Below are 27,645 nucleotides of genomic sequence, written 5' to 3' on the forward strand. Positions count from 1 at the left end.
AGCAGCTGGGATTACGGGCGTGTACCACCACACTGGACTAATTTTTGTAGTTTTAATAGAGACGGGGTTTCACTATGTTGGCCAGGCTGGTTGTTTTGTTTTTTAATTTGCCAACATTGTTTTTAAGAGTAACATTGTAGCCCGTTGTGTCATTGTTACATAATTTATTGAGTGATCTGTTGTTTGAAATTTAGGTAATTTATAACTTTTAATGTTTATATAAAGCAGTGTTGTGAACATCATTGTATCCCAGTTTTTACATGTTCCTTAACTTTAGAATAAGATTTTAGCAGTAGATTTTCTGGGTCATACAAATGTACTTTTTAAAGATTTTATTTTATTTATTTATTTTATTTTTTATTTTTTTGAGACGGAGTCTTGCTCTTTCGCCCAGGCCGGACTGCAGTGGCGCTATCTCTGCTACTGCAAGCTCCGTCTCTGGGGTTCACGCCATTTTCCTGCCTCAGCCTCCCGAGTAGCTGGGACTACAGGTGCCCGCCACTGCGCCTGGCTAATTTTTTTTTTGTATTTTTAGTAGAGACTGGGTTTCACCGTGTTAGGCAGGATGGTCTCAATCTCCTGACCTCATGATCTGCCCGCCTCAGCCTCCCAAAGTGCTGGGATTACAGGCGTGAGCCACTGCGCCTGGCCAAGATTTTATTTTTTTAATTTTTATTATTATTATTATTTTTTAAGATGGAGTTTTTTTCTTGTTGCCCAGGCTGGAGTGCAATGGCACAATCTCGGCTCACTGCAGCCTCTGCCTCCCGGGTTCAAGCGATTCTTCTGCCTCAGCCTCCCGAGTAGCTGGGATTACAGGCGTGCACCACCAGCCTGGCTAATTTTGTATTTTTAGTAGAGACAGGGTTTATCCTTGTTGGTCAGGCTGGTGTCGAACTCCCGACCTCAGGTGATCTGCCCGCCTTGGCTTCCCAAAGTGCTGGGATTACAGGAGTGAGCCACCACGCCCAGCCTTTAAGCTTTTAAATGTCTACCAGCAGTTTGTTGTCTAGAAAGTTTATATTAGTGTTTACCTCAGCTTCATGCCTTTTCTTTTCTTTTTTTCTTTAATAATTGAAGGCACTACTTTTAGAAGAAAAGACTAACTGTTATTTTCGTTGATGTTTTCTCCCTATTCTTAAAGCCGCTGTCTGACAGAAGTTTCTCTTGACACTGATACAGTGATATTTGACTAAGTGTGATTTGAAATTTCTTCTGGCTATGAGTGATAATAGCTGTGGGTGCAGAGGGCAGCTGATTTAAACATTATGTTTTAATAGAATAAGACAAGTCCTTCTCTAGGAATCCATCAAAAAATGAAGTGAAGCATACCTTTTAGATACTACTGTACCATGAATGTTGTGGAGTAGGAAAAATCAGGATCTTCTGTATTCGTTTTTGAAGCAGTGTCTTTGAAAGTAGCTTTTGGCCGGGTGCGGTGGCTCACGCCTATAATCCCAGCACTTTGGGAGGCCGAGGCAGGTGGATCATGAGGTCAGGAGATCGAGACCATCATATCCTGGCTAACACGGTGAAACCCCGTCTCTACTAAAAATGCAAAAAAATTAGCCGGGCGTGGTGGCGGGCCCCTGTAGTCACAGCCACTTGGGAGGCTGAGGCCAGAGAATGGCGTGAACCCAGGAGGCGGAGCTTGCAGTGAGCTGAGATCCACCACTGCCCTCCAGCCTGGGCGAAAGAGCAAGACTCTGTCTCAAAAAAAAAAAAAAAAAGAAAGTAGCTTTCATTCACTTTAGCTTTTCATCTTGTTTCTAAAGGTGGGGCAGATAAAGTGAGTAGGAACTGAGGTAGGAAGTCTTGGTGCTAGAGAAGCCCAAAGGGAAACATTCTGTGTGTTTGGGAATGCCCTCTTGTAGTACCCCTCCTATTTGTAAGCCTGAAATCATTAAATATTAAGAGGTTGTAAGGTTTACTGGGTCTTCATGTGTAGGCTAGTTAGAATTTTTTCATCTATAGTGAATATAGCTTTCCTGATGCAAAAGTCCCAAAGTAGGAGAAGATTTGTTACATATTTCATGTTTGTGTTTGATGTTTGCCTGACTGACTTTTTGTTTCTTATTTAGAAATGACTGCTGTCCATGCAGGCAACATAAACTTCAAGTGGGATCCTAAAAGTCTAGAGATCAGGACTCTGGCAGTTGAGAGACTGTTGGAGCCTCTTGTTACACAGGTAAGAATCTGAAAACACAAATACATTGTAACATGGTTCTATAGCACAGGCCTGGGTAACAACCATAAGAGCAAGGTTATTTAGTTCAAAGCCTTAATTCCAGTACTTGAGTTTAGGTGACAGTTCTTAGATGATTTGAATATTGATGCATGGGTTTAGTTAACCCTTGAGAACGCTGCTGCTGTCGTTTTCTTCAGTCTTATTGCTAGTAACGGGTCCATGGTATGTAGTGCAACTTTGCAAATGTTTGTGCTTTGCAGATACTTCACCTTTCTTCAGAGGGGAAACCCAAGAAAGGTGGAGTCTGGATCCTTGATTGTTAAGGTCTCTCACTCTGCTTAACACACCTTTCATTGTGTGGGATTAATTAGCAGGTAATTCAACTTGAGGGTTTAGGTTTGGTATGCTACAAATGTCACAATGTTAGGGTAGTTCATAAACTGTTAGCAACTAGCTGTGTACTTTTAGTGTTTTACAATAGTATGTCTATTGTTTGTATGTGAGAGATTCAGAGAGAGAGAGAGAAAATGAGTCTTGTTTGGCAAATTTACACTATAACATATATTCATCATCTTTAACCTAGAGATAATCTGGTATTATGTGTATTAATGATGGTAATGTTCTAAGACATAAAGCGTCATCACTGTAGGCTTCTTTGGGCAATCATTCGTTTATTGGGACCTTTACTAATTGCTGAGATTTGTGTGAATAAACTGTCAAAAGACTTCAGAAGCAAATTATCTTAAAATGTTTTGCAAAGTTTGAAAACAGTGGCAGTGTGATCTCCAGATAAAGCTAAGTTCATTGTTAACCTCTTTCTGGAACATCTTGGTGACATATAGTAGAGACATCTAACTTGTCTCTAATCATTTTTTAATTTGTAAAATCAAACTAAAAACCTAATGATCATATTTGAGAAATTAAAATATGTGTTAAATAATTCTCTGTACACATTAAGAAAGCTGAATTATTTTGGAAATTAAATATAGCATCATTGCTGTATATCTTAAATATGGGGAATTGTATGTTAATGTTCAGTGGAATCTCATGTGATTTTTTAAAAGAATAACTTAATCTTGCTGTCTTTAAAGATATTAGTTTGTCATTTTAATTGACTCCAGTTTAATGTTAAAAATGAAACTTTTAGGTTACAACCCTTGTAAACACCAATAGTAAAGGGCCCTCTAATAAGAAGAGAGGTCGTTCTAAGAAGGCCCATGTTTTGGCTGCATCTGTTGAACAAGCAACTGAGAATTTCTTGGAGAAGGGGGATAAAATTGCGAAGGAGAGCCAGTTTCTCAAGGAGGAGCTTGTGGCTGCTGTAGAAGATGTTCGAAAACAAGGTAGGTCATTACTGCTTTTTAGGTAAAGAGAGGCAGGCCTTTCTAGAAAATCAGTGTTTGAAGATTTTTTTTGTGGTCAGTATTCTCATTCTTATGCTTGCCAATTGCTCAGTAACTTACTTAGTTATTGGAGATGTATTAAGTTGGACTGGCTCATATTTTAATTCTCATTCTTATGCTTGCCAGTTGCTCAGTAACTTAGTTATTGGAGATGTATTAAGTTGGACTGGCTCATTTTAATCATGAGAGATGCTTGCAGAGGGACATCTGGAGAATCTGAATCCACTTCTCTTGGGTATTTCAAGTAATAGTTAAGTCTTAGAAATGTTGTAACACAAATTGATAGGAAAGAAATGGGACCGAAGTTTACTTTTCATCCTGTGTAATACTTCTTTTTAGTTCATGCTGAAGAGATGGGTGTGATAAAATGGAAAAATATCTACCTACTCTGAAAATACTCTAGAAATTGTCCTATTGTGTCAGAATAGTATGTTAAATCAGCCATGCATATTTGAACTGGTTGGAGCTTGACATAAATCTGGGTATAAAGGAATCATGTTTTGGGAAATTCAGAATTGATAAAAAGTAAAATGGTAATCCACAGTTTACTAATAATTAATGCTAGAAAAATTGTCCTTATTATGTTACAAATGTGGAAGGAAGACTTTAAATACGGAAGATAAACTTCTTGAAACCTGCAGTTTTTATTTTTAGTAGAGATGGGGTTTCACTAGTTGCCCAGGCTGGTCTCAAACTCCCAAGCTCAAACAATCCGCCTGCCTCGGCCTGCCAGAGTGCTGGGATTGCAGGCATGAGCCACAGTGCCCGGCCTTGAAACCTGTAGTTGTGTGTTAGGTTTCTTTTCCAGTCGGAGAATTTCAACAATGATGTAGGTTTTTTAGGTTATTGGATATCAGCTAAGGTAAATCGAGCCCTGCTATTTACAGGTGCTTTACTAACCCTTGGGAGAACTTCATAGATCTTTCGTGCCTGATGGTAGATTGCATAGTCCAGAGTCTTATGTCAAATTCATCCCTGTGGCAGTACCCATAAATGGGCAGTGCCTTAGATGGAGATAACATCTCCAATTGTTTTCTGAATTTGTGAACAAATAACCTTCAATGGTAAATATTTTTTCAGTTTTCAGGCTGAAGATAAATATTTCTAATACTGAAAATGATGAAATTATTAGAATTCCACAGTACTAATTAGGCAGGTATATTAGTTTCCTAGGGCTTCTATAACATAAATTATTACAAGCTTGGTGGCTTAGAATAATAGAAATTTATTCTCTCATCATTCTGAAGGCCAGAAATCTGAAATCAAGGTGTTGGCAGGCTTGATTCCTTGTTGGGACTTAGGAAGAATCTGTGGATGCCTCTTTCCTAGCTTCTGGTGGTTGCCAGCAATTCTTAGCATTCCTTGGCTTGCAGACATGTTACTCCAGTCTCTGCCTTTGTTATCATATACTTTTCTTTTTTTGTGTCTCTGTGTCCAAGTTTCCCTCTTCTTATAAGGACATCAACCATTGAATTAGGGCCCACCTTAATCCAGTATAACCTCATCGTAACTTGATATCATCTGCAAAGACCCTGTTTCCAAATAAAGTTGCATTCACAGGTTCCAGGTGGACATGAATTTTTGGGCAATGCTATTCAACCCAGTACAGTGAGTTTTGAATTAATTAATTAATTTTTTTTTTTTTTTGAGACGGAGTCTCGCTCTGTCGCCCAGGCTGGAGTGCAGTGGCGGGATCTCGGCTCACTTCAAGCTCCGCCTCCCGGGTTCACGCCATTCTCCTGCCTCAGCCTCCCAAGTAGCTGGGACTACAGGCGCCCGCCACTACGCCCGGCTAATTTTTTGTATTTTTAGTAGAGACGGGGTTTCACTGTTTTAGCCGGGATGGTCTCGATCTCCTGACCTCGTGATCCGCCCGCCTCGGCCTCCCAAAGTGCTGGGATTACAGGCGTGAGCCATCGCGCCCGGCCTAATTTATTTTAAAGTAGTTTAATGGTCCAGTTCAGGACAGTTTTTGAGCTTGCTGTTGAGGAAATCAGGCTATTACTTAATTGTATTCTGTGGTACATTCTCCTCCCCAGCCCTTCTTGTCTTCTATAACGAAACTCACAATCATATTAACAGATGAGTTTGGGCAGTGTTTGCTGGCTCTAGTGACTGACGTTTCTTTTCTTTTCTTTCTTTTTTTGAGTTGGAGTCTTGCTCTGTCTCCCAGGCTGGGATGCAGTGGTGCGATCTTGGCTCACCGCAACCTCCACCTCCTGGGTTCAAGCGATTCTTCTGCCTCAGCTTCCCAAGTAGCTGGGATTACAGGCATATGCCACCACACCCAGCTAATTTTTGTATTTTTAGTATAGTATAGTGTAGTGTAGTGTAGTGTAGTATAGTATAGTATAGTATTGCCTTGTTGGCAGGCTCGTCTCGAACTCCTGACCTCAAGTGATCTGCTCGCCTTGGCCTCCCGAAGTGCTGGGATTACAGGCATGAGCCAGTGCGCCTGGCCACATTTATTTTTAAAATGCATTTAATTGTTGTAGGTAATTTTAATTTGACTTTATATGTTTCTTATTTCAGAAGTTTCTCCAGTGCAAATATGTAGCAATCATGGTATAATATACATTCCCTGCTCCCCAAACCCCCCACAATTTTGAATGCATATCTGAATTGCTTTTGTTATTTTTGTTTGTATATGATAATCTTTTATGTGGTTCTGAATCATAAGGACTTTTCTGTCCTAGTCCACTTTTGCAATTATTTATTATCATGACCTGTCCACCATAATTTGCCTTCTCTTTGGAAAAAAAGAGCCAAAACCAAAATATAACTTCCTCCCATCATCATTATTGCATCAGATATGAAAAGCTGAAATGCCTTACTTTTTTCTCTTGGCTTACTTTTTTCTTTGGAGAATCTTAACAAATGGTGATAAGATCTCTTTTCTATCATAAATAGAACAAAATACATATTACAAAAATATGAAGCACAGATTGCTTAATCAACTGAGACTTGTTGGCTATGTCGTTGAAGCCATTTACTCATCGTTTGAAACCCTGTAGTGGTGTTAATAGGTCTGCAGATTCTTTGGACACCCCTCCCTTAAAAAAAAATAGAGCCTAACCCTTGAACATGGGTTGAACTTAGTGATTCCTACAATGACTAGAATGTGGTAGAAGTGGTGCTATTTACTTTGGGAGCAAAGTTATAAAAATGGGGCCGTATCCACTCCACTTTTTCTCATGGATTATTCTGTCTGGGGGAAGCTGGCTGCTATGTCTTGAGTGCACTCAGGAGGTCCTGTGGAGAAGAACTGAAGTCTCCAACCATCAGTCAGCACACATTTGTCAAGCATGTGAGTGAACCACCTAGGAAGCAGATCCTCCACCTCCAGTCAAGTTTCAGACAACATCAGTCCTGACCAACCCCAAATCCCTGACCCATAGAAAACTCTGGGAGTTAATAATTGTTTTAAGCTGCCACCTCTTGGAATTTCTTAGGCAGCAAAAGAAAATTTATACAAACACTTTTCCCTGCCCTGGCTTCAGTGGTCCTGAGCATTTACGTAAAACCCTGACCTAACTTTTCTGAATTTTTCTGATAAATAAAAATATGCCATCCACTGAAACACTTAATTTTTAAAGGATTTTTAAGATGTCTTTGTTCTGAATCACTGTTGACGTTGTTTAGGATGGGGGTTGGTAAATTTCTTCTAGAAGGCCAGGTAATAAGTATTTTTGGCTTTTCTGATCATAAGGGCTCTGGGCTGGGTGCGATGGCTCACGCCTGTAATCCCAGCACTTTGGGAGGCCCAGTTGGGCGGATCACGAGGTCAGGAGATGAAAACTATCCTGGCTAACACGGTGAAACCCCGTCTCTACTAAAAATACAAAAAATTAGCCGGGCGTGTTGGTGGGCACCTGTATACCCAGCTGAGGCAGGAGAATGGCGTGAACCTGGGAGGCGGAGCTGGCAGTGAGCCGAGACCGTGCCACTGCACTCCAGCCTGGGTGACAGAGCGAGACTCCGTCTCCAAAAAAAAAAAAGGTCTCTGTTGAAACTATTAATATTCAGCTCTGCTGTTGATTTGGGAAGCAGCTATAGACAAGATATAAAGAAATGGTCATGGGGGATGGCTGTGTTCTAATAACATTTAGAAAAATTACAGGCTATAGTTTGCTAACCCTGATATAGGGTTTTCCCAGGCTGTTAAAGATATGAGCTTACTGTCTTCAAAAAGGTAGTTATTTATGTGTTTATTTATTATACTTTTGAGCCAAAAATTAGACCTTCTGTATCTTTGGGTTTGTACATGTCCATTGCTTCCCGTGCAATCATAATAACCAAAAGTTGGAATGTACACAGTTTTTGATGTGTAACTTTCTTTTTGTGTTAGACCCTGATTACATAAATAATGAATATGCACATTTGTGAGTATACTAAAATTTCACCATAATGCTGTAAGTGATGTTAAAAAAATTCACGTACATAAAAACAGGATCATTTGACTTCAAGGCTAATGAAATGGTCAGGTGAGCCACATGTGGTGGATAGGAGCCAGTCACCAATTGCATGGCTTCCAAATCTCTGTGATCTAAGAGTTTAATTGTACTACTAATCTGCTTCGTTTTTGAGTAGCTACCTTATATAGGCAGAGGTGTACATATGCCTCTTAGATGTGCTCTTTTCTTATTTTAGGATCCTGTTTACCTCCCGTATCCCCCCATCCTTATCAGATCAATCTTACCTTTGTTCTTTTTTGTCTTAGCGCTTATCACAGTGGTAATTTAAGTTGGTTGCCTTTTCCTCTCTACGCTCCAGCAGTGCAGGTTCTGTGCTGGTCTGGTGACCATTCTGTTTGTATCTATGATAGTACCTGGTCCGTGATAGGCACTTAAATGTTTGAGTAAGATAATTGATTATTCTCCGAGAAGTACAGTAAGAGAAAATGCTTTTTTCTCGAAATTTAAAGTGTGTTTTCCTTTCCAGTGCCAAATGTAAATGCATGGGTAGGGGTGGAGAATCTTATGTTTTTTTTAAAAAATTGAGATATAATTTCACATACCATAAAAATCACCCATTTAAAGTATACAATGCAGTGTTTTTTAGGGTATTCAGAGTTGTACAGCTATCACCATGATCTAATTCCAGGACATTTTTATCATCCCCCAAAAGAAACCTCATACTCATTAGCAGACATTCCCCATACATGTACATTTTAACAGTAGATAAAGAGTAGCAGCTGCCTTGTGGTACATAAATGTATTTTATGAATCCTTGAATAGGGCTCTGACCAGAAAAAGAAGCCTCTTAAGCCGGATAGGGGACTTTCAGGGGACAGAGATGAGAAGACCTAAATGAAGCTTTTTTGAAAAAGGAGAGATATTATGAACAGAGGCCCATTAATGTTAAATTTGAAGTGGAGTGATGAGGAACAGCTTCTTACTAGAACAGTGTTTTATAATCCATTAGCCACAATTTATACTTGGATCTCAAAGGCCAGGATCAGTATTATTGCTACTTCTGTAGCTTCTTCCCTATAGCTCATGGGCATTTCTGGGTCAGTGAAGGGGGAGAAGACCCAAAGAAACTGAAATCCACCTTTTTGTATTCCTGCACTGCTTCTAATCATATTTGCTCAGTAAAGGGGCCAAATAGATTATTCGTGCACTGAGCAACAGTAGATTTCCTAGGAAGAAGCTTGTGTCAGGGAAATATGAGTGAGGAATGGGCTGGTTGATAGTGTGTGGTCCCTGAGGGGGAGATGGTATTCTAGCACATAGGAGGCTGTTTTTCCTGTTTTTCCCCCCCCCCAGAGCTTATAATGATACATGAATACGAAAAATAATTAATAGCATGAGTGGCAGAGGAATGGGAGGATAAGCATGGGATTGGGAAAGTTAACTAAAGGTATTTGAGCTTGCACTGGATCTTGAAAGGTAGAAAAAGGGAGCAGGAGGAAACTCATCCAGGTAAGAAAAATAGACTGTGCAAGATGGGCATGAGAAACAGTGAGGTCCCTGGCTGGAGGTGGGTGCTAGTCATGTTGAGCACTGCTGGCAGGAGAGGTTTTTGTTTTGTTTTGTTTTTTGAGTTGGAGTCTTGCTCTGTCGTCCAGGCCGGAATGCAGTGGTGGTATCTTGGCTCGCTGCAACCTTCGCCTCCTGGGTTCAAGCAATTCTCCTGCCTCAGCCTCCTGAGTAGCTGGGACTACAGGCATGTGCCACCACACCTGGCTAATTTTTGTATTTTTAGTAGAGGTGGGGTTTTACCATATTGGCCAGGCTGGTCTCAAACTCCTGACCTCGTGATTCACCCACCTCGGCCTCCTAAAGTGTTAGGATTACAGGCGTGAGCCACCGCACCCGGCTGCAGGAGAGGTTTAATATAGTTTGGAGCATATTTAGAGGGTGGCTTGGAATGCCATGTGGCATTACATGGTTCAGGTCCCATATGCTTGAATGTATCAAGTGACACAGGACTCACTCACTACCTCAAGGGGGAGCTCTTTCCAGTATTGGTTTGTGTTTATTTTAAAAGCTTTTTTTTCCCCTTAGAAACTGAAATTTGTCTCTTGAATTTTCTTCCTGTTTTAAGAAGTTCCACCATCTGGGCAATACAGAATATGAGGAAAAGTGGAGTTTTTGCAGGGAGATTAGTGTTAGCTGTGTGCAGGAAGGGTTAAAGTGACTGGTAGACAGCCCAGAGGTAGGACCTAGAGTCTGGAGATGACCATAGTAGTGGGGAGTGAAATGGAGCTGTGCAGGAAGGGACTGCTATAACAGAATTGATGGAAAGAGAGAATTGGCCAGTTGTCATGCATGTTAACTGCCAGCAGGGCCTGTGCAAGTAGCTGATCTTTTCAGTAGGTAAAACTAAGGGACCTGGTATGTGAAAAGTTGTAGTAATTTATTTTCCTGTGACTTGAGGCATTTAGGGTGGTGTTGAGGCAGCATGTGCTGCTAAGAACCTGTGTTCTTACAGGTGTAAAATGCTGCCTTTTAAAATGTTTGCATTATTTGCTTGTAATGGATGTCAAACCTTATTTTGTGTTCATTAATCACACGTATTAATGTTTATTAATACATCTGAAACATGTTATTTGTGTGAGTTCCTATGGCAATGATAAGTATTGGTAAACATTAGTGCTCCTTTCTCTGTTGATTTGTTGAAGCCCTGTTATTTTTCTTTTTAATTGGAATTCCACCAAGTTTTCAAAAATTGAGACATGGCTCATTGGGCTGGAGATGCTGATCTTTTAGATTTCTCTTTACTAATCTAATGGCATAGCAGAGGTTAAATTACCTTGGAGTAGAAAATCAAGAAATGATTGTGTGTGTCTGCAATTTTGGTTTTAATGGTAGGACAAGATTATGGTAGTCTGGGAAAAGGTGATTGAGTGCTGCTGAACAGAGCAAGGATTGATTGTAGCTAAGTCTAGTGACTTACTGCCTGCCATTTGGTTTGACCTTCATTTTGTGACTATCGTACCACTAACCACAGCCAGTCACCTCTCATGTATGTGTTGTTATTCTCATGGCAAACACTGTGAAAACCTCTGGGTAATTCACTGCAGCCTCTTCTTCAGTGCTGAAAAAACATTTTATAGTGACAACTATACATCCTTTGTCCCCCAGATGGCCAGAAGGTGAAGATAGAGTAAGTTCTTTTACTAAATATTCCTGTCCATAAATAAAAAGCAGACATCTTAATGTTTGGCTTACAGTTTTTTCCCCTTTCATATCTATTTATGTTTAGACAGATTTGTCTTAAGATTTCTTTGAAACGTTTCTTTTTAGGTTTTGGCTTTCAGGTCATTCCATTTCAGGCAAACTTTGATACTGCGAATGCATTTTCCTTGAGTAGAAGATCTCAACTTACTGAAAGCAGTCAGTGTTGTTAAGTACTAAATCTCAATCATTACATAAATCATCTTTTATGTAAAAAATGTCGGCCGGGTGCGGTGGCTCATGTCTGTAATCCCAGCACTTTGGGAGGCCGAGGCGGGCAGATCACGAGGTCAGGAGATGAAGACCCTCCTGGCCAACATGGTGAAACCCCGTCTCTACTAAAATACAAAAAATTAGCCAGGCGTGGTGGCACGTGCCTGTAGTCCCAGCTACTTGGGAGGCTGAGGCAGGGGAATTGCTTGAGCCCGGAAGGCAGAGGTTGCAGTGAGCTGAGATTGCACCGCTGTGCTCCAGTCTGGAGACAGAGCAAGACTCCGTCTCAAAAAAAAAAAAAAAAAAAAAAAAAAAGGGTCTTGTTAGTTTTAGAACAAGAAAGGAGTATTTATTGTCTGCTAACACAATAGTTAACATCTGTGAGTTTGCAAGCATCTGGGTAATCTTAGTACCTATAGTTGATTTGTGAGCATACTCTAATGGTACTTGTTTTCTCAGCTTTTTTTTTTTTTTTTTTTTAGAGAGGCAATTACTGTTCATTGTAGCTGTTCTTGTTTTTTTAAATTTTTATTTTTTATTATACTTTAAGTTCTAGGGTACATGTGCACAGCATGCAGGTTTGTTACATATGTATACGTGTACTATGTTGGTGTGCTGCACTCATTCTCAGCTTTTTTTAAATCTTTAAAGCATGAAATTACCCAGTCATATAAAACTGAGGGTCTCTTAGGGCATTGTTATAAAGAAAGGATGGAAAATGAGAGTTCTTAATTGATGTTAATGGAGAGACATTCTTTTATTTATCTCAGTAATTGTGTATAACTGTGTAGTGAAGCTAAGGACATAGATGCCATCTTCCTTGGTACAGCTTGAATAATTTGTATATAGGGAGAAAAAATGTGTACACACATGTATGTGTATGTGTATATATACATAGTTCACTGTGAATCTTGGCAAGGCAATTTTCAGAAAAATAATGTATTTCATCCCTGACAAAAGGTTATTGAGCACAAGCTGTCAGGCTCTTGAGGCATGATTTTCTCCCTGGCAACTGACTAGAGTCAAGATTGAAGGAGGCGAAAATTGGTCTCCTGTCCAGTGCAGATGTTGACAGCTTCAGACTGATGTACCCACATCTACTATAGGCAGCCTGGAAGATAGATGTTAAAAGACAGCTGTGATTAGGACAAAGCACGTATCAGTGACTGTTTTAAGTAGAGTTTGAGACGTAGACAGGAGGCAGAATGGAATCTGGGTTTGCTGGGTTCATGATGTGAAGACTTAAAACATAGCTTTGAAGAGCATTGTGTGGGTGTGTGTGAGAGAGATTGCATTTTAATTTGTCTGATCTGGTTAGTGTGGTTTTAATCGGGTTGAGATCATGAGCTTGATCTCACATATGGGCTCTTTAATTTTTCACAAGAGAAAAATGACAAGTGTTCCTACTTTGGAATGTTGAGTATGGATTTCAAAAAGTGTTAATGATGCTCTGGAAGAGCAGTAGCTGGGAAACATTCAACATTTTGAAAAAGATTAAAGTTAAGTTAATTAGCTTTTCAGATTAGTACAATAACTTTATTAAAACTAGCAAGAAATCAGCTGATTTTTTTCTCATAGTCTTCCTTTGAGTTCTGGCTTCTCATTTGTTATCTTACCTTTTCCCCTTGTTGTCTTAGAATTTTCATCCTGTTTTCTCCTCTTATTTTTGTGGATGTCTCTTTTCATGTGATCCCATTGTGGCTTGGTCTTTTGTTAGAAGTGCTCCCACTCCAATTCATACCTTTCAGATGTTCCTGAAGACTGTAATTAATTTAAAAATTGTTATTGACCCCATTCCTTCAGTCTCACCATTTAATCCATTTTTTCTTGTTCTTCATTTAACTTGAGCAGGAAAAGCAAAATATAAATTCTGAAAAATCATTAGCTGGTTGTCATCTGGGAATTTTATGTCTTAAAGTTGTCTGCCTGACTTAAACTATAAGTCTTTAGGGCAGAGGCTATATTTTCTTTGACTTGGGATGTTTCAAGGATGCTGTCTGCTTCTGGATCACTACCCTTGTGTGAGCATATGCTGCTTTGCAGAGACTTGTGTTCTGCTGTAGCCAGCTTGGAATTGAGGAAAGAAGAGTGAAGTTATTACATTCTAATGTCATTTTGAAGTGGTTCATTTTTTCCCCTTTTATTAAAAAGTCTGTCCTGTTAAGCTCACAAAAATAAATAACACTAACCAGGATAATAATATTTATGAGTTACAGTGGGTAATATTACTGCCTTAATATATTTGTACAGTCAGTGTAGCTGAGGAAGTTATTTTAGGTATTAAAATTTTAGTTTTGGCATGACTTCAACCATGATGTTGCAGTAACATGATTTCTACTAGTTAATTTCTTAAGAAAGTGATTCCAAGTTGAAATGCATGTTATGCATTTATTTGAATGTGTAATCAGGAAGTAAGTGCCTCTCTTTGGAGTGTTTCTGAATAGCAGCAGGGCACACTTGAATTAGTAAGGAAAATGAGAACATGAATATGTGTGTTACTTTATTTTAACTTTTTTTTAAATCCATTCTGTCTGTCAACTGGAAAAAGAAATTTCAAAGCTTCTTTCCTTACCCTCAGGGGATGGGGAAGGGGGGGAAGTTAAGAGGTTTTCTAGGCTTGCTCTGATTCAGATGGGCTTATAGTATTTAAATAACTTCATATTAAATGTTTATTTCCTGGGTTGATTTTTTTTTTTTTTTTTTTTTTTAAGACGGAGTCTTGCTCTGTCGCCCAGGCTGAAGTGCAGTGGTGCAATCTCGGCTCACTGCAACCTCCGCCTCCCGGGTTCAAGTGATTCTCCTGCCTCAGCCTCCCAAGTAGCTGGGATTGCCAGCACCCGCCACCATGCCTGGCTAATTTTGTATTTTTAGTAGAGACAGGGTTTTGGCATGTTGGCCAGGCTGGTCTTGAACTCCTGACCTCAGGTGATCGGCCTGCCTTGGCCTCCCAAAGTGCTGGGATTACAGGCATGAGCCACTGGGCCTGGCCTCTTTTCTTTCAAAAGATAAACAGTTGTGTGGATTTAAAAAAAAAACAAAAAAACAACTGCATCCCAGAAAGTTCTCTTAAGGCATCTGTCAGGGATTCTTTGAGTTATTCTCAGTTTATCTGTACTTACAGGGATATCATCTAGGGGTCTGTTTTTACCAAATATCCCTCCTTGATAAATGGAAGGCTTGATTGAGAAGATTAAAGTGTGTTATTCAGGATCATCCTCATGTCATAGGGCACGTGGGTTATGCCAAATATATACTACCATTTGGTTCCTTCTTATAAGGGCTGTGTTATGAAGTCTATTATTCTTTGCATCTGTATTGCCAATTTGCATCTATATTGACAAGTGTGGAAAACATTTTATTACCAGATCATAGAAAATGAATTAAAATTTGGCTGGGTGGGAGTGGTGGGACATGGAGATGGGATGGGGTAGGAAACATATATTAACTTTGGATTATCTTGAAGTTAGGAGATAATTTTGTGAAGTCTTGGTCCTGTTATTTTATTATGTTGTAAAATGAAAGTTGGTGGAATAACAGATGAAAATAGTTATCAGGCCCACGCCTGTAATTCCAGCACTTTGGGAGGCTGAGGCAGGTAGATCACCTGAGGTCAGGAGTTCGAGACCAGCCTGACCAACATGGTGAAACTCTGTCTCTACTGAAAATACAAAAATTAGCCAGATGTGGTAGCACTCACCTGTAGCCCCATCTACTCAAGTGGCTGAGGTGGGAGAATCACTTGAACTCGGGAGGTGAAGCTTGCAATAAGCCAAGGTTGCGCCACTGCACACCACCACCACCCTAGGTGAAGGAGTGAGACTCTCAAAAAAAAAAAAAAAAAAAAAAAGAGCTGGCCAGTCATGGTGGCTCATGCCTGTAATCCCAGCACTTTGGGAGGCCGAGGTGGGTGGATCACGAGGTCAGGGGTTTGAGACCAGCCTGACCAACATGGTGAGACCCCGTCTACTAAAAATATAAAAATTAGCTGGGCGTGTTGGCGCACATCTGTAATCCCAGCTACTCTGGAGGCTGAGGCAGGAGAATTGCTTGAACTCAGGAGGCGGAGATTGCAGTGAGCCGAGATTGTGCCACGGCACTCCAGCCTGGGCGACAGCGAGACTCTGTCTCAGAAAAAAAAAAGAAAAAAGAAAAAAGCTATCACTTGTTGGTGAGATCCCTTAATCAAATCAGATGTATTTAAGAGAATTTGGTATAAAGTAGGTTTATCAGTAGGTTTTGGAGCTAAAGCACCAAAAAGTAACTTTCAAGAGTTAGGAATCTCATGGTAGGGAAGTTTTGGGCATTCATTAAATCCAGGGCTGGATGTTTTTTACTCTGTAAAACACTGTGTAAAAAGATGCCAAGCTGTTAAGTACAGGGCAGTTTTATTATAGGCTTGCCTGTGATGTTGGTTACTTTCTCTCTTTTTTTTTTCTTCCTCTAGTTCTACTCCCTGGGTAGAATTAAAAACGGTTTTAAAATGAGCGTTAATTTTCTGCAGTGAACATGTGTTTTGATAGTAAGAGCAAAAAGAAAAAAAATGAAAACTTACAATTTTGTATCCTAGAGATGAAACTAATGGTTAACATTTTTGTCCTAAATGCTTTCCAGTTTGTCTTCTGTGAATATGCTCACGTGGGTAGAGATATGTTGGGTTTGATTATGTCATTTGCTTTTTTTCATTTAATGGATCCTGAACATCTTTCTGTAATATTAAGTATTCTTCTACAACATAATTTTTAATGGCTGAACACTATCCTCTAGAGAGTAATATGATTTAAGAACATTATTTTATACCAGCAAACTAAAGACTTCTCTTTAATACTGTTATGTCAAGAGTTTTATTCACTTTTCACATTTTCAAAGGAGTATAGTATTAATAAATAGTTACAATCCTAGTTTTTTACTTTAAAGACTGAAGGCTCCTATTGTTAAGAAGTATGTATCGGCTGGGTGCGGTGGCTCATGCCTGTAATCCCAGCACTTTGGGAGGCCAAGGCAGGCGGATAATGAGGTCAGGAGATCGAGACCACGGTGAAACCCCATCTCTACTAAAAATACAAAAAATTAGCCAGGCGCGGTGGCGGGCACCTGTAGTCCCAGCTACTGGGGAGGCTAAGGCAGGAGAATGGCGTGAACCCGGGAGGTGGAGCTTGCAGTGAGCCTAGATCGCGCCACTGCACTCCAGCCTGAGCGACTGAGCGAGACTCCGTCTCAAAAAAAAAAAAAAAAGTAGTAGGTATCTGAGAAGAAATAAAAGGTTTTAGATAGTTAAAATCATTTTGAGATAAAGAGAACAAAGTTACTTGAGCAAGGTTATCTGGGAAATCAGTGGGAGAAGGGAGAGTTGGAATTCCAAGTATGCTCATGAAACTGATCCTGAAATGAGTAATTTGAACATGTTTAAGATAGTTGATGGTGTCTAACTCTTCTCCTGGAAGCTTTTGTCATTTTAGCGCAGGGCTGTTTTTGCTGGTTTGCAGAAGCATATTCAGGTGGATGTCTTTAAAATCTCTTTTCTCTTTTGGATTTGGCAGTTGATAACAAACAATATGCTCCTGTAAAATGTTCTGTTTAAGAAATGCCTACCTAAGGTCTGTGTAACCATTGAATCTTCTTCCCTGCAGCAACTCTACAGAAAATTTTAAAAATGAGATTGGGGCTACAGATACCCATTTATTTTACCACTTGGCTTACTCTTATTTTGGATAAAACCCCTCTAGTTAGCTGACTTTATAAGCTTTTACAGAAAGATTTTGTAATATGTGCAAGTTTTACTTTTTCATTTTTGCATGAACTAGCAGCCATGGGATTTTTATACTTCAGAAAAAAGAAAATTTGAAGCCTGAGTTTTATTATCATACACACAAACTAAAGATATTGGCATTTTTATCATTTAAAAACTTTTTTTATATAAAAGTATATTCACTATAGAAAGTAAAAATAAACAATAAACAATCACCCATCAGGCTGTACCACCTTATGATTAAGCTCTGTCGATATTTTGGTATGTGTTGGTTGTAGTGTTTACCATCCCATCCCTTTCCCAGGACATAAACACATTGTGATCTCCATTCTCACTGTGCAGTACAGATTGTTATATATCTGCTATTTAAAGTGGAAATGAAAATCATTTCCATTAATGAAGATACCTGGGTGGGGGCAGATTGTATAATTTATCGAAGATAAGCTGTGTTTCTCTACTGGGCTGGCAAAAATATTTTTTCTGGACCTTAAAGGTAGAAAGGTTCTGGTGAAGAAGCTATTTAAAAGTATCCTTAGTATTATTTTGGGGAAGGAGATATAACTTTGCCCTATTTATTGAGGTTTTTGGAGGACTTTTACAGGCAGTAGAGATGTTTCCATAGCTGGATTTCTGAGCCATTACGTTGTGGTTGGGAACCTTTCTTTTGTAGTATACTGTAGAATTTTGGGATGTGACACTGTAAATGGGATAGATGAGGAAGATGACCAGTTCCTGAGAACTGGAAGGAATCCCAGCTTGACTTGAGAACTTCTTTAAAACAAAATGAAACAAAACAAAACAAAAAAACTGCTAAAAAAAAAATTTAAAAAAAGCAGTTGGAAAAACGTAAGGCACAGCAAGCTTTGGTTGTAGCTATTAGCACAAAAGGAACAATTATTACTACTTTCTGCACTATAGACAGTGGAGTGAAGGAAGCTCCCCTCATCCTTTACAGCTTCAGCATTTAAAATTAAAAGCTAACATTTCCTCTGTCCTTTAGGAAACTTGGTATCATGACTTTATTTCTAAAAAGGTAAGAAACAGCTGGTGTGTGGATAATGACATGTTCTAAATAGGTTTAAAAACTGGAAAAAGTAGATGGAAAAATAGAAGGGGGCACAGAAGTATTTGTTGAGCTTTGCATATATTATTTCATTTAATTTTCAAAACAACTGAGTAAGGTATGGGAGATGTGTACTCATTTTACAGAAAAGAAAACAGCTAGAGATAAAACAACCCAAAGTAACACAGCTGCCAAATATCGAAGCTGGATTTAGACCCAGTTCCAATACCTTATTTCATCTACACCAAGTAGTGTTCTGGGAGAGAAGTAGTTATATTCATTAACATTACTTCATAGCATTCTTTGTTTTAAAGGAGCAATGTAACAGGTTCAGGTTAAAACAAACAAGCCTTTTGTTTTTTTTATCCATCACCCAAATATTTTCCAAGCCTATCCTTTCCCCGTAACTTTATAAAGTTTGGTTGCTTTCAGGGGAATTTACTCATGATATTTGATGCTTCAAAAACTTCTTGATTTTGTCTTCTCCTAATAAAGAATTGTGGGTTTTTTTGTTTGTTTGTTTACTTTATAATTGCCCATTGTCTTTGTTTTAAACTCCAGAGGAACTTATTTTATTCCCAGCTCAGGAGAGAACATCAGGGGATGACAGATTTTATTTCATGGCAGATGGTACAGTAGTATTGAGCTCTCTTAAGTTTCATCTCCTTTGTTAGTAGATGTAGTGTAGTTGACTGGAAACAGCTGGGACAAAGTCAGGTTTTACAACCGTGCGATCTTGGATATAGTTCCTGTCTACCTCAGTTTCCCCAGTTTGCCCTTTTGTGTGCAGAGAGCACTTTTGATATCTTATAAATTTAAACTAACAGGTATCTTTTTAAATTTTTAATTTTTTTTATTAAAAAAAATTTTTTTTGAGATGGAGTCTTACTCTGTCACCCAGGCCACTGTGCCTGGCTAATTTTTGTATTATTATTTTTTAGTAGTTCTGGTCTTGAACCTCTGATCTCAAGTAATCCCCTACCCTCAGCCTCCCAAAGTGCTGAGCCATCGTGCCCAGCCTTCTGCCACATTTTGTTTTTTTAGACAGAGTTTCGCTCTTGTTGCCCAGGCTGGAGTGCAATGGCGTGACCTCGGTTCACTGCAACCTCTGCCTTCCGGGTTCAGGCAATTCTCCTGCCTCTGCCTCCTGAGTAGGTGGGATTACAGGCATGTGCCACCACGCCTGGCTAATTTTGTACTTTTAGTAGAGATGGGGTTTTGCCATGTTGGTCAGACTGGTCTCGAACTCCTGACTTCAGGTGATCCACCCACCTCGGCCTTCCAAAGTGCTGGGATTACAGGCGTGACCACCATACCTGGCCATCTTTTTTTATTTTTAGAGTTCTTTTAAGAGACATGAGAGATGGAGGAAAAAAAAGTTGTTGATTCCTTTTTACAATTTTTTTAAGCAAGGTTTTGAGCATGGGTTCTTTTTACATTTAATTTTGAAATGAAACTTATTAAACATCTCAAGTTAGTCTTAGTGTCATTTTTTTTTTTTTTGTAAGGATGACCATTCAGAAGTTTGAGGACCTCATTTTTAGCTGGGGGCTTATTTATATACTTGTTTATAGTTTTGCTGATGGAGAAAGTGTGAATATTTTAACCCATTATACAGTGTGTTTCTGATGTATTTTTTCATTACTAATACTTTATGTTAGCCATGAAATTAAGGATTTGTCATTAGGGCTGTGAGCTAAAATAAATTAGAGTAGATGTAGATGTATGTATGTATGTATGTATGTATGTATGTATGTGTGTGTGTATGTGTGTATTTAGAGACAGAGTCTTGCTCTGTCGCCCAGTCTGGAGTGCAGTGGTGCCATCTCGGCTCACTGCAACCTCTGCCTCCTGGGTTCAATCGATTCTCGTGTCTCAGCCTCTCCAGTAGCTGGGATTACAAGTGCTCGCCACCACACCCAGCTAAATTTAGTATTTTTAGTAGAGACGGGGTTTTGCCATGTTGGCCAGGCTGGTTTTGAACTCCTGATAAATGAATTCAGCAGACCACTGTAAAAAAAGAAAATCCATGAAGCTGTAGCTGCTACAGCAGCAAGCATGAAAACCCCTGCACTTTTTATGAAAATAATTTTATCTTGTCAACACAAGATAAAATGCAGCTTCTGTGTGGGTGCAGGGCTGCTATAAGAAAGGCATACCTATAGACTAGTAAGATTCGAGAAAAAGCAAAGTCATTATATGACAATTTAAAGCAAAAGGGAGGTGAAAGATCTAGAGTTGAAGAATTTAATGCCAGCAAGGGATGGTTTGATACTTTAAGAGAGATGTGGCTTTAAAAATGTCAAGATAACAGGGGAAGCAGCTTCTGCTGACCAAGAGAAGGGTTCCCAAATGCCATTAAAAAGTGCAGCAGAAGGCCAGGTGCAGTGGCTCACACCTGTAATCCCAGCACTTTGGGAGGCCAAGGCAGGCAGATCACCTGAGGTCAGGAGTTCGAGACCAGCCTGACCAACATGGAGAAACCCTGTCTCTATTGAAAAAAAAAGAATAGAAAAATTAGCCAGGCATGGTGGCGCATGCCTGTAATCCGAGCTATTCGGGAGGCTGAGGCAGGAGAATCACTTGAACCTGGGAGACGGAGGTTGCAGTGAGCTGAGATCGCGCCACTGCATTCCAGCCTGGGCAACAAGAGCAAAACTCCGTCTAAAAAAAAAAAGTGCAACAGAAGGGTGGGCACGGTGGCTCATGCCTGCAACCACAGCTGCAGACTTCAATTCACAGTATGTATCAGGCAGTTCGGCTTTTTCTTACAATGTCATGACTTTTCTTTACCTCTTGGTAGTACTTCCAGCATCACTAGTGGCACTTTGTATTAGCTTCATGGTGTTTCTCAATGTTTTGAGTGTTGTACTAAACATGATGAATGAGAACTACGAATGATCACTTTTCACTGTCATGCAATTTACTGGCTGTGAACTGCTCAGGTGGAGATGATTAGCATCGCATGCAGATGCATCATATGGCATTTTAAGTGGATATTCACAATACTTGACCATACTGCAATAGCAATAGGAGATGGCTACAAAATTATTACAGTAGTACAGTGTGTACTACAATTAATTTTATGTTTGATTATATTTCCCTTGACTGCGAATGGCACCATGTACGGCCTGTGTTTGTGTGCATAAGTTTTGATTGGTTAACTTTCTGTGATAGGTTTGTGTATATTTATGGTAGTACATGATAAAATAGGCTAGTATCTACAGATATTTTATGCATTCATGATATACCTAACTTTCTCTTAATTTTTTGGTACTTCTGGATTACATGATGAGTTTTTTTCAAATTGTTGCAAATCTCTGAAACAATTTTCAATATGCTTATTGAACAAAATCCACGTATAAATAAACCCATGCAATTCAAACCCAAACTGTGTTGTTCAAGGGTGGCTGTACAAACTTCGCTGCTAGCTTTTAAGTGTACAAATAGCTGCATAAATAACCGATGTGCATCATGACCAGTCATGTCACTTCTTTCAAAGTCTGTTGGTGATAGTTCCCTGCAAATCTGTTCAGTTTATGCAAAGTGTGTAGTTGTGTTGCTTCCTTTTCTCCTAGTGATAAACCCACATGAACTACTTGACAGAATTGAATAATTGAAAGATTATTCAACACAACAAAGATGAATGTGCAACAAAGAAATGAAAAGTGATAGACCTGGAATTGAAATTTGATTAGAATATAAAGGGAAGAAATAGCTGATTGTGGAAATGTTGACCCTGCTGCTATTTAAAACTCTAGCTATGCAGCTAGAACTACTTAGTGAAGGCAAACTTCTCGACTTAAATGAGGAATGTGGTTGTGATGTCCAAGAGAATGTGTGATGTCATTAAAAACGACACATTAAAGGAACTCTTGAAGATATTCATGACAAATAAGCGTAGATATTGGATAAAATGTTGGAAATGGGTCCAAACTTAGAAAGAAATATGATGATTCGCCAAGGGATTAAAAAGATGCTCATTCTGCACCCTAATGTAAATGACAAGAAGAAGGCAGGGAAGCATTGTTCAAACTACTTTTGAAAATTTTTTTTCACAAGGAAATAAAATATTTTGTCTCAGTGTTTATAATGTTTTAATTTAGTACATTAAGCAAATATTAGTTGACTATATCATATCCCTATACATTTATAATAGACAATAAAGGAATTTTTAATGCATAGACAAAAGTATTTATTTTTAATTTTTATTTTGTAGAGATGGGGTCTCACTTTGTTGGCCAGGGTGATCTCAGGAAACTCCTGGGCTCAATCGATTCTCCTACCTTGACCTCCCAAAGTGCAGGGATTACAGTTGTGAGCTCACATGCCTGGCTGACAAAATTTTGGGGGGTCTTATTTTTTAAAAATTTATTTTTTTCTTTTCTCCAAATATGATGTTGGAAACTGCCAAAAATTTTTAAAGGTTACGGGAGAATCATAATTCTCTGTGATTAATCTCTGATTAAGATCAGGTTGCACTGTTTCAGCTTGTATGGTCATTTTTACAGTCCTGTGCTACTGTGCAAAGTGAAGATGATCAGTATTGTTATCTCTGTTTTACAACTGTGGAACCTGAGACTATTAAGTGGTGAAGCTGTGGTTTTTGTTTTTTGACTTCTGAGTTTATGATCTTATTCTCTATTATACTGGTTACCCCTACACAAGATTTTTATATTCTGAGACAGGGTCTTGCGCTGGAGTGGTCTGGAGTGCAGTGGTGCAGTCCCAGCTCACTGTAGCCTTGACCTCGTGTGCTTAAGTGATCCTCCCACTTCAGCCTCCTGAGTAGCTGGGATTACAGGCATGCACCGCCACACTTAGCTAATTAATTTTTTTTTTTTAAATAGAGACAGGTTCTCACTATGTTGCCCAAACTGGTCTCAAACTCCCTGGGCTCAAGTGATCCTCCTGCCTCAGCTTCCCAGAGTGCTGGGATTATAGGTGCTACATAAAATTGAAAATAAAGTAGAAAATAATTCCTTTAGTAGCCCTTGCTTTTCCTCCTGGTAATGGGCCAAATTTTTTTTTTTTTTTGGGAGATGGGGTCTGTCACCCATGCGCTGGAGTGCAGTGGCATGATCGTGGCTCACTGCAACCTTGGCTTCCTGGGCTCAAGCGATCATCCCATCTTAGCCTCCCAAGTAGCTAAGACTATAGGTGAATGCCACCATGCCTGGCTAATTTTTCTTTATTATTTGTAGAGATGAGGTCTCACAATGTTACGTAGGCTGGTCTTGAACTCCTTGTCTCAAGTGGTCCTCCTGCCTGGACTTTTCAAAGTGCTGAGATCACAGATGTGAGCCACCGTGTCTGGTCTCAGGCCAAATTCTTGAAAGAGCAGTCTTATTTATAACTTACTTTATTACCCTTGAAATCTGGTGTGTGCAACTCCCAGAAAGCCACTTGTCTTCTTCGTTGTCTTGTGCTAGCCACATTGGCTTCCTTGGCCTTCCATAATCTTTTTAGATCTTTGACTTGGTGTTCCCTCTACCTGGAATGCTCTTCCTCCAGATAGCCACATTATTCCTGTGATTCCTTTGTCAAGACTGTCTTCAAATCAAATGGTATTTTTTCAAGGAGGCCTACCTTGATCCCCCTATTTTAAATTGTATCTTACATCCCTTTTCTCTCTGTCCTCCTTTCTGTCACTGCCCCCGACCCTACTCCAGTACTATTGTTTATTGTCTTTCTCTCCCACTAGAATGTAAGTTCCCTGGAGCCCGGGATTTTTTCCTGGCCTGGTTGGTTAATTTCCTGGAGCATTTAGAATAGTGCCTGGCTGATAGAAGGTGATCAGTAAGCATGTTTTGAAAGAGGCATGAATGCTCTTGAAGATTGCTGTTGAATAGGTGAATACTGATGAAACACAATGAAGACCTTTTCTCTGTCTTCTGATCTTGTTTTACCTAGAATTAATCATTTCTACCAACCCTATTTTGTCTCCTAGTGCTTGCTGCAAGGCACTGAACTAGGCATTTTACAAGGTATCTTAATTGACACTCACAGCAGGTATTCTACACATCGTGCAGAGGAGGAAACAGAATCATAAAGTCTAGTTGCATAGCTGGCAAGTGGCAAAGCCAAAACTTAGGCCTATATCCAGCTCCAGAGCCTGTGCTCTTTCATGTTACTGCATTCAATACTGGTTTTTTTTCCTTTGTGTTTTTTGAGCTATAACTCAACATACATAAAATTCATCATTTTAAAGTGCACAATTCAGTGGTTTTTAGTATATTATTAGGTTGTGCAGCCATCACCACTGTGTAGTTTCAGATGTTTTCATCATCCTAGAAAGAAACCTAGTTTTACCTGTTGGAAGTTAGTCCTCATTCTTACCTGCTTCCCACTGCCCAGCAAGCATTACCTTCTGTCTCTATGGATTTGCCTGTTGTGGCAAATGGCGATTTCATATAAAGGGAACAATACAGTATTCTTTCACTTAACATATGTTTTGAAAGTTCATCCATGTTGCACATGTATCAGCACTTCATTTTTTCTTACGGCTAAATACTGGATAATGCCACATTTTGTATGTCTGTTTTTCAGTTGGTAGATGTTTGGGTTCTTTCTGCTTTTTCAGCTGTTATGAATAGTGACACTAAGTATTCATGTACAGGTTTTTAGTTGTGTAGCTATGTATTAGGTTGGTGCAAAAGTAGTTATGGTTTTGGCCATTTAAAAAAAAGGTGATGAAAACTGCAATTACTTTTGCACCAGCTTATATTAGTCCGTTCTCACATAGCTATAAAGAAATACCTGAAACTGGGTAATTTATAAAGAAAAGAGGTTTAATTGGCTCAAGGTTCTGGAGGCTGTACAGAAAGCATAGTGTCTTCTCCTTCTGGGGTGGCCTCAGGAAGCTTCCAATCATGGTGGAAGGGAAATGGGGAGCTAGGCATCTAACATGGTGGGGAGGAGCAAGAGAGGGGGTGGGAGAGGTGTCACACACCTTTAAACAGCCAGATCTCATGAGAACTCATTCACCATCACAAGAACAGCACCAAGAGGTTGGTACTAACCCATTCATGAGAAACCACTCTTATGATCCACTCATCTCCCACCAGGCCCCACCTCCAACATTGAGAATTACAGTTTGACATGGGATGTGGGCAAGGACACAGATCCAAACCATATCCACCTAGCAGTGGAATTACTGAGTCATATGATAACATTTAACCCTTTGAGGAACTGCCAGACTGTCTTCCAAAGTAGCTGCACCTTTTTACATTCCCAGCATTGGGGTATGAGAGTTCTAATTTCCTCATATTCTTGCCATTTGCTATTATCTGCCTTTTTTATTATAGCCATCCTAACTAAGTACAAAGTGATATCTTTGTGTGGTTTTGATTTGTATTACCTGATGGCTAGTGAGGTTGAGCATCTTTTCATGTGCTTGTTGGCCATTTCTAAATCTTCAGACAGGCACCTGTTTAAATCCTTTGCCTATTTTAAGTTGGATTATTGGTCTATTTTTGTTTGTTTGTTTGTTTTTAAAGAAGCCAGGTCTTGCTATGTTGCCCAGGCTAGATGCTAACTTCTGGGCTCAAGCAGTCCTCCTGCCTCAGCCTCTCAAGTAGCTAGGACTGCAGACACATGCCACTGCAGCCAACTTAAAAAAAAAAATTATTTAGTATAAGAGTTCTTTATATATTCTGGATACTAGATCCTTATAATTTGCAGAAATTTCCTTTCATTTGTGGATTGTCTTTTTACTTTCTTGGTAGTGTTCTTTGAAGCACAAAATTTTAAATTTTTTTGATGATGTCAAACTTACCTGTTTTTTGTTCTGTTGTTTGTACTTTTGGTGTCATAGCTAAGAAACCATTGTGAATCAGAGGTCATGAAGACTTACACCAGTGTTATCTTCTAAGTGTTTTATAATTTTAGCTCTAACATTTAGGTTTTGATAAATTTTGTAAGTATATGGTGTGAGATAGGGGTCCAACTTAATTCTTTTGCATATTGCACTTGTCCTAGCACCATTTGTGGACAAGACCATTCTTCATTGAATATTCTCGGCACTCTTGTTAAAATCAGAATATATTTCTGGATTCTCAAAGTTGATTGATCTCTATGTTTACATTTGTTTTGGTTGACCAGTTTTCTCTTACAAGTCTGGCCTTCTTGTTTTTGACAGTCTTGGTTCTCTTCATTGTTTCTTTTATTGCAGAATCTTCCTCTCCTTACTCTGCTGTCCACAGTCTCGAGGGTCCTAACTTTTTTTTTTTTCTAAATCTTTCCCAACTCATGTGTTTTCATACATCTCTGGCTTTCTTCTCCCGCTCAGAAAGGCCCTAGCTTGCAACCTTTAAATAATGTACTGTGCTTAATCAAAGGTGATCAGATCTTTTGACCCCTGCCTTTGTAATTTACTACTACTCTCTTCTGGGCTCTCACTGTAGCTTTCTGATCCATCTCTCTGGTTAGGTTTATTGTATGTACTTTAGATAGGTTAATCCTCTTTACTTTGACTTCACTCTGGTTGAGGGAATTGAATTCTGTTTGTCTCTGGCCTTTCTACTCCCATCTTCTGCTTCTTCTAAGCATATCCCTTACTCCTCAGTTAGACTAGATAATTCAGACTAGATATTATGCCTCTAAGCCTAATTAATATATGAATTATATATTAATATATAATATACAAGCCTTATTGTATACCTCAGCATGATAAGTGGTTCTACAAAGAGCATAAATACTGGCATTACAAATCCTGACTCTGCCATTTACTAGTTAGGTGGCAGGGATTTAGTTAGTTAATCTGTATAAGCTTTAGTTGCATTATTTGTAAGCAAAGGCTAATACCACTTACTCTCTAGGTGGGTGACAGAATTTTAAAAATATGTGTAGTGCCATAGAGTAGATGTTGGACTTTTTTTTTTTTTTTTTTTTGAGACAGACTCTCGCTTTGTTGCCCAGGCTGGAGTGCAGTGGCGCAATCTCGGCTCACTGTAACCTCCGCCTCCTGGGTTCAAGTGATTTTCCTGCCTCAGCCTCCCGAGTAACTGGGATTACAGGCACCTGCCACCATGTCTGGCTGTTTGCATTTTTAGTAGAGATGGGGTTTCACCATATTGGCCAGATGGGTCTTGAACTCCTGACCTCAAGTGATCCACCGGTCTCAGCCTCCCAAAGTCCTGGGATTATAGGTGTGAGCCACTGCACCCAGCCAGTGTTGGACATTATTATGTTACTGTTCCTTCTGCTTGAGGTGGTAACTCCCTTAACTCTGCTGCCCACATCCTTCCTCTCCTTTGAGGGATGGGTTCATTTCAGAGTACCAAGCCTTCCATAAAGCTGTTGCTGGTATTCATTTCTTCCCTAAACTAGTTGTTAGTGCTTCCTCCTTT

At 39.4% G+C, this 27,645-nt stretch overlaps 1 protein-coding gene across 9 annotated transcripts in view, besides 1 other annotated feature; it reads left to right on the plus strand.

The window, feature by feature from the left end:
• CTNNA1 (catenin alpha 1) overlaps window positions 1-27,645 on the plus strand; it is a 181,610-nt gene that overhangs the window by 26,417 nt on the left and 127,548 nt on the right. For 7 of the 9 annotated variants that reach the window (NM_001323982.2, NM_001323984.2, NM_001290307.3 and 4 more), the window contains 2 exons: window positions 2,082-2,188; window positions 3,336-3,531. In NM_001323982.2, the coding sequence (NP_001310911.1) occupies window positions 2,084-2,188; window positions 3,336-3,531 (301 nt within the window). In that variant the 5' untranslated portion in view covers window positions 2,082-2,083. The remainder of the gene's footprint in view (window positions 1-2,081; window positions 2,189-3,335; window positions 3,532-27,645) is intronic. The other 2 variants (NM_001290310.3, NM_001290309.3) reach the window with 2 other exon arrangements.
• Window positions 10,081-10,250: an enhancer, noted in NCBI's record as "active region_23216". NCBI's record gives its function as "activates an Ori minimal core promoter by ATAC-STARR-seq in GM12878 lymphoblastoid cells {active_cell/tissue: GM12878}" and the evidence as "EXISTENCE:reporter gene assay evidence [ECO:0000049][PMID:35858748]".

The sequence above is a fragment of the Homo sapiens genome, chromosome 5, assembly GCF_000001405.40.
Source record: "Homo sapiens chromosome 5, GRCh38.p14 Primary Assembly".
NCBI lineage: Eukaryota > Metazoa > Chordata > Mammalia > Primates > Hominidae > Homo > Homo sapiens.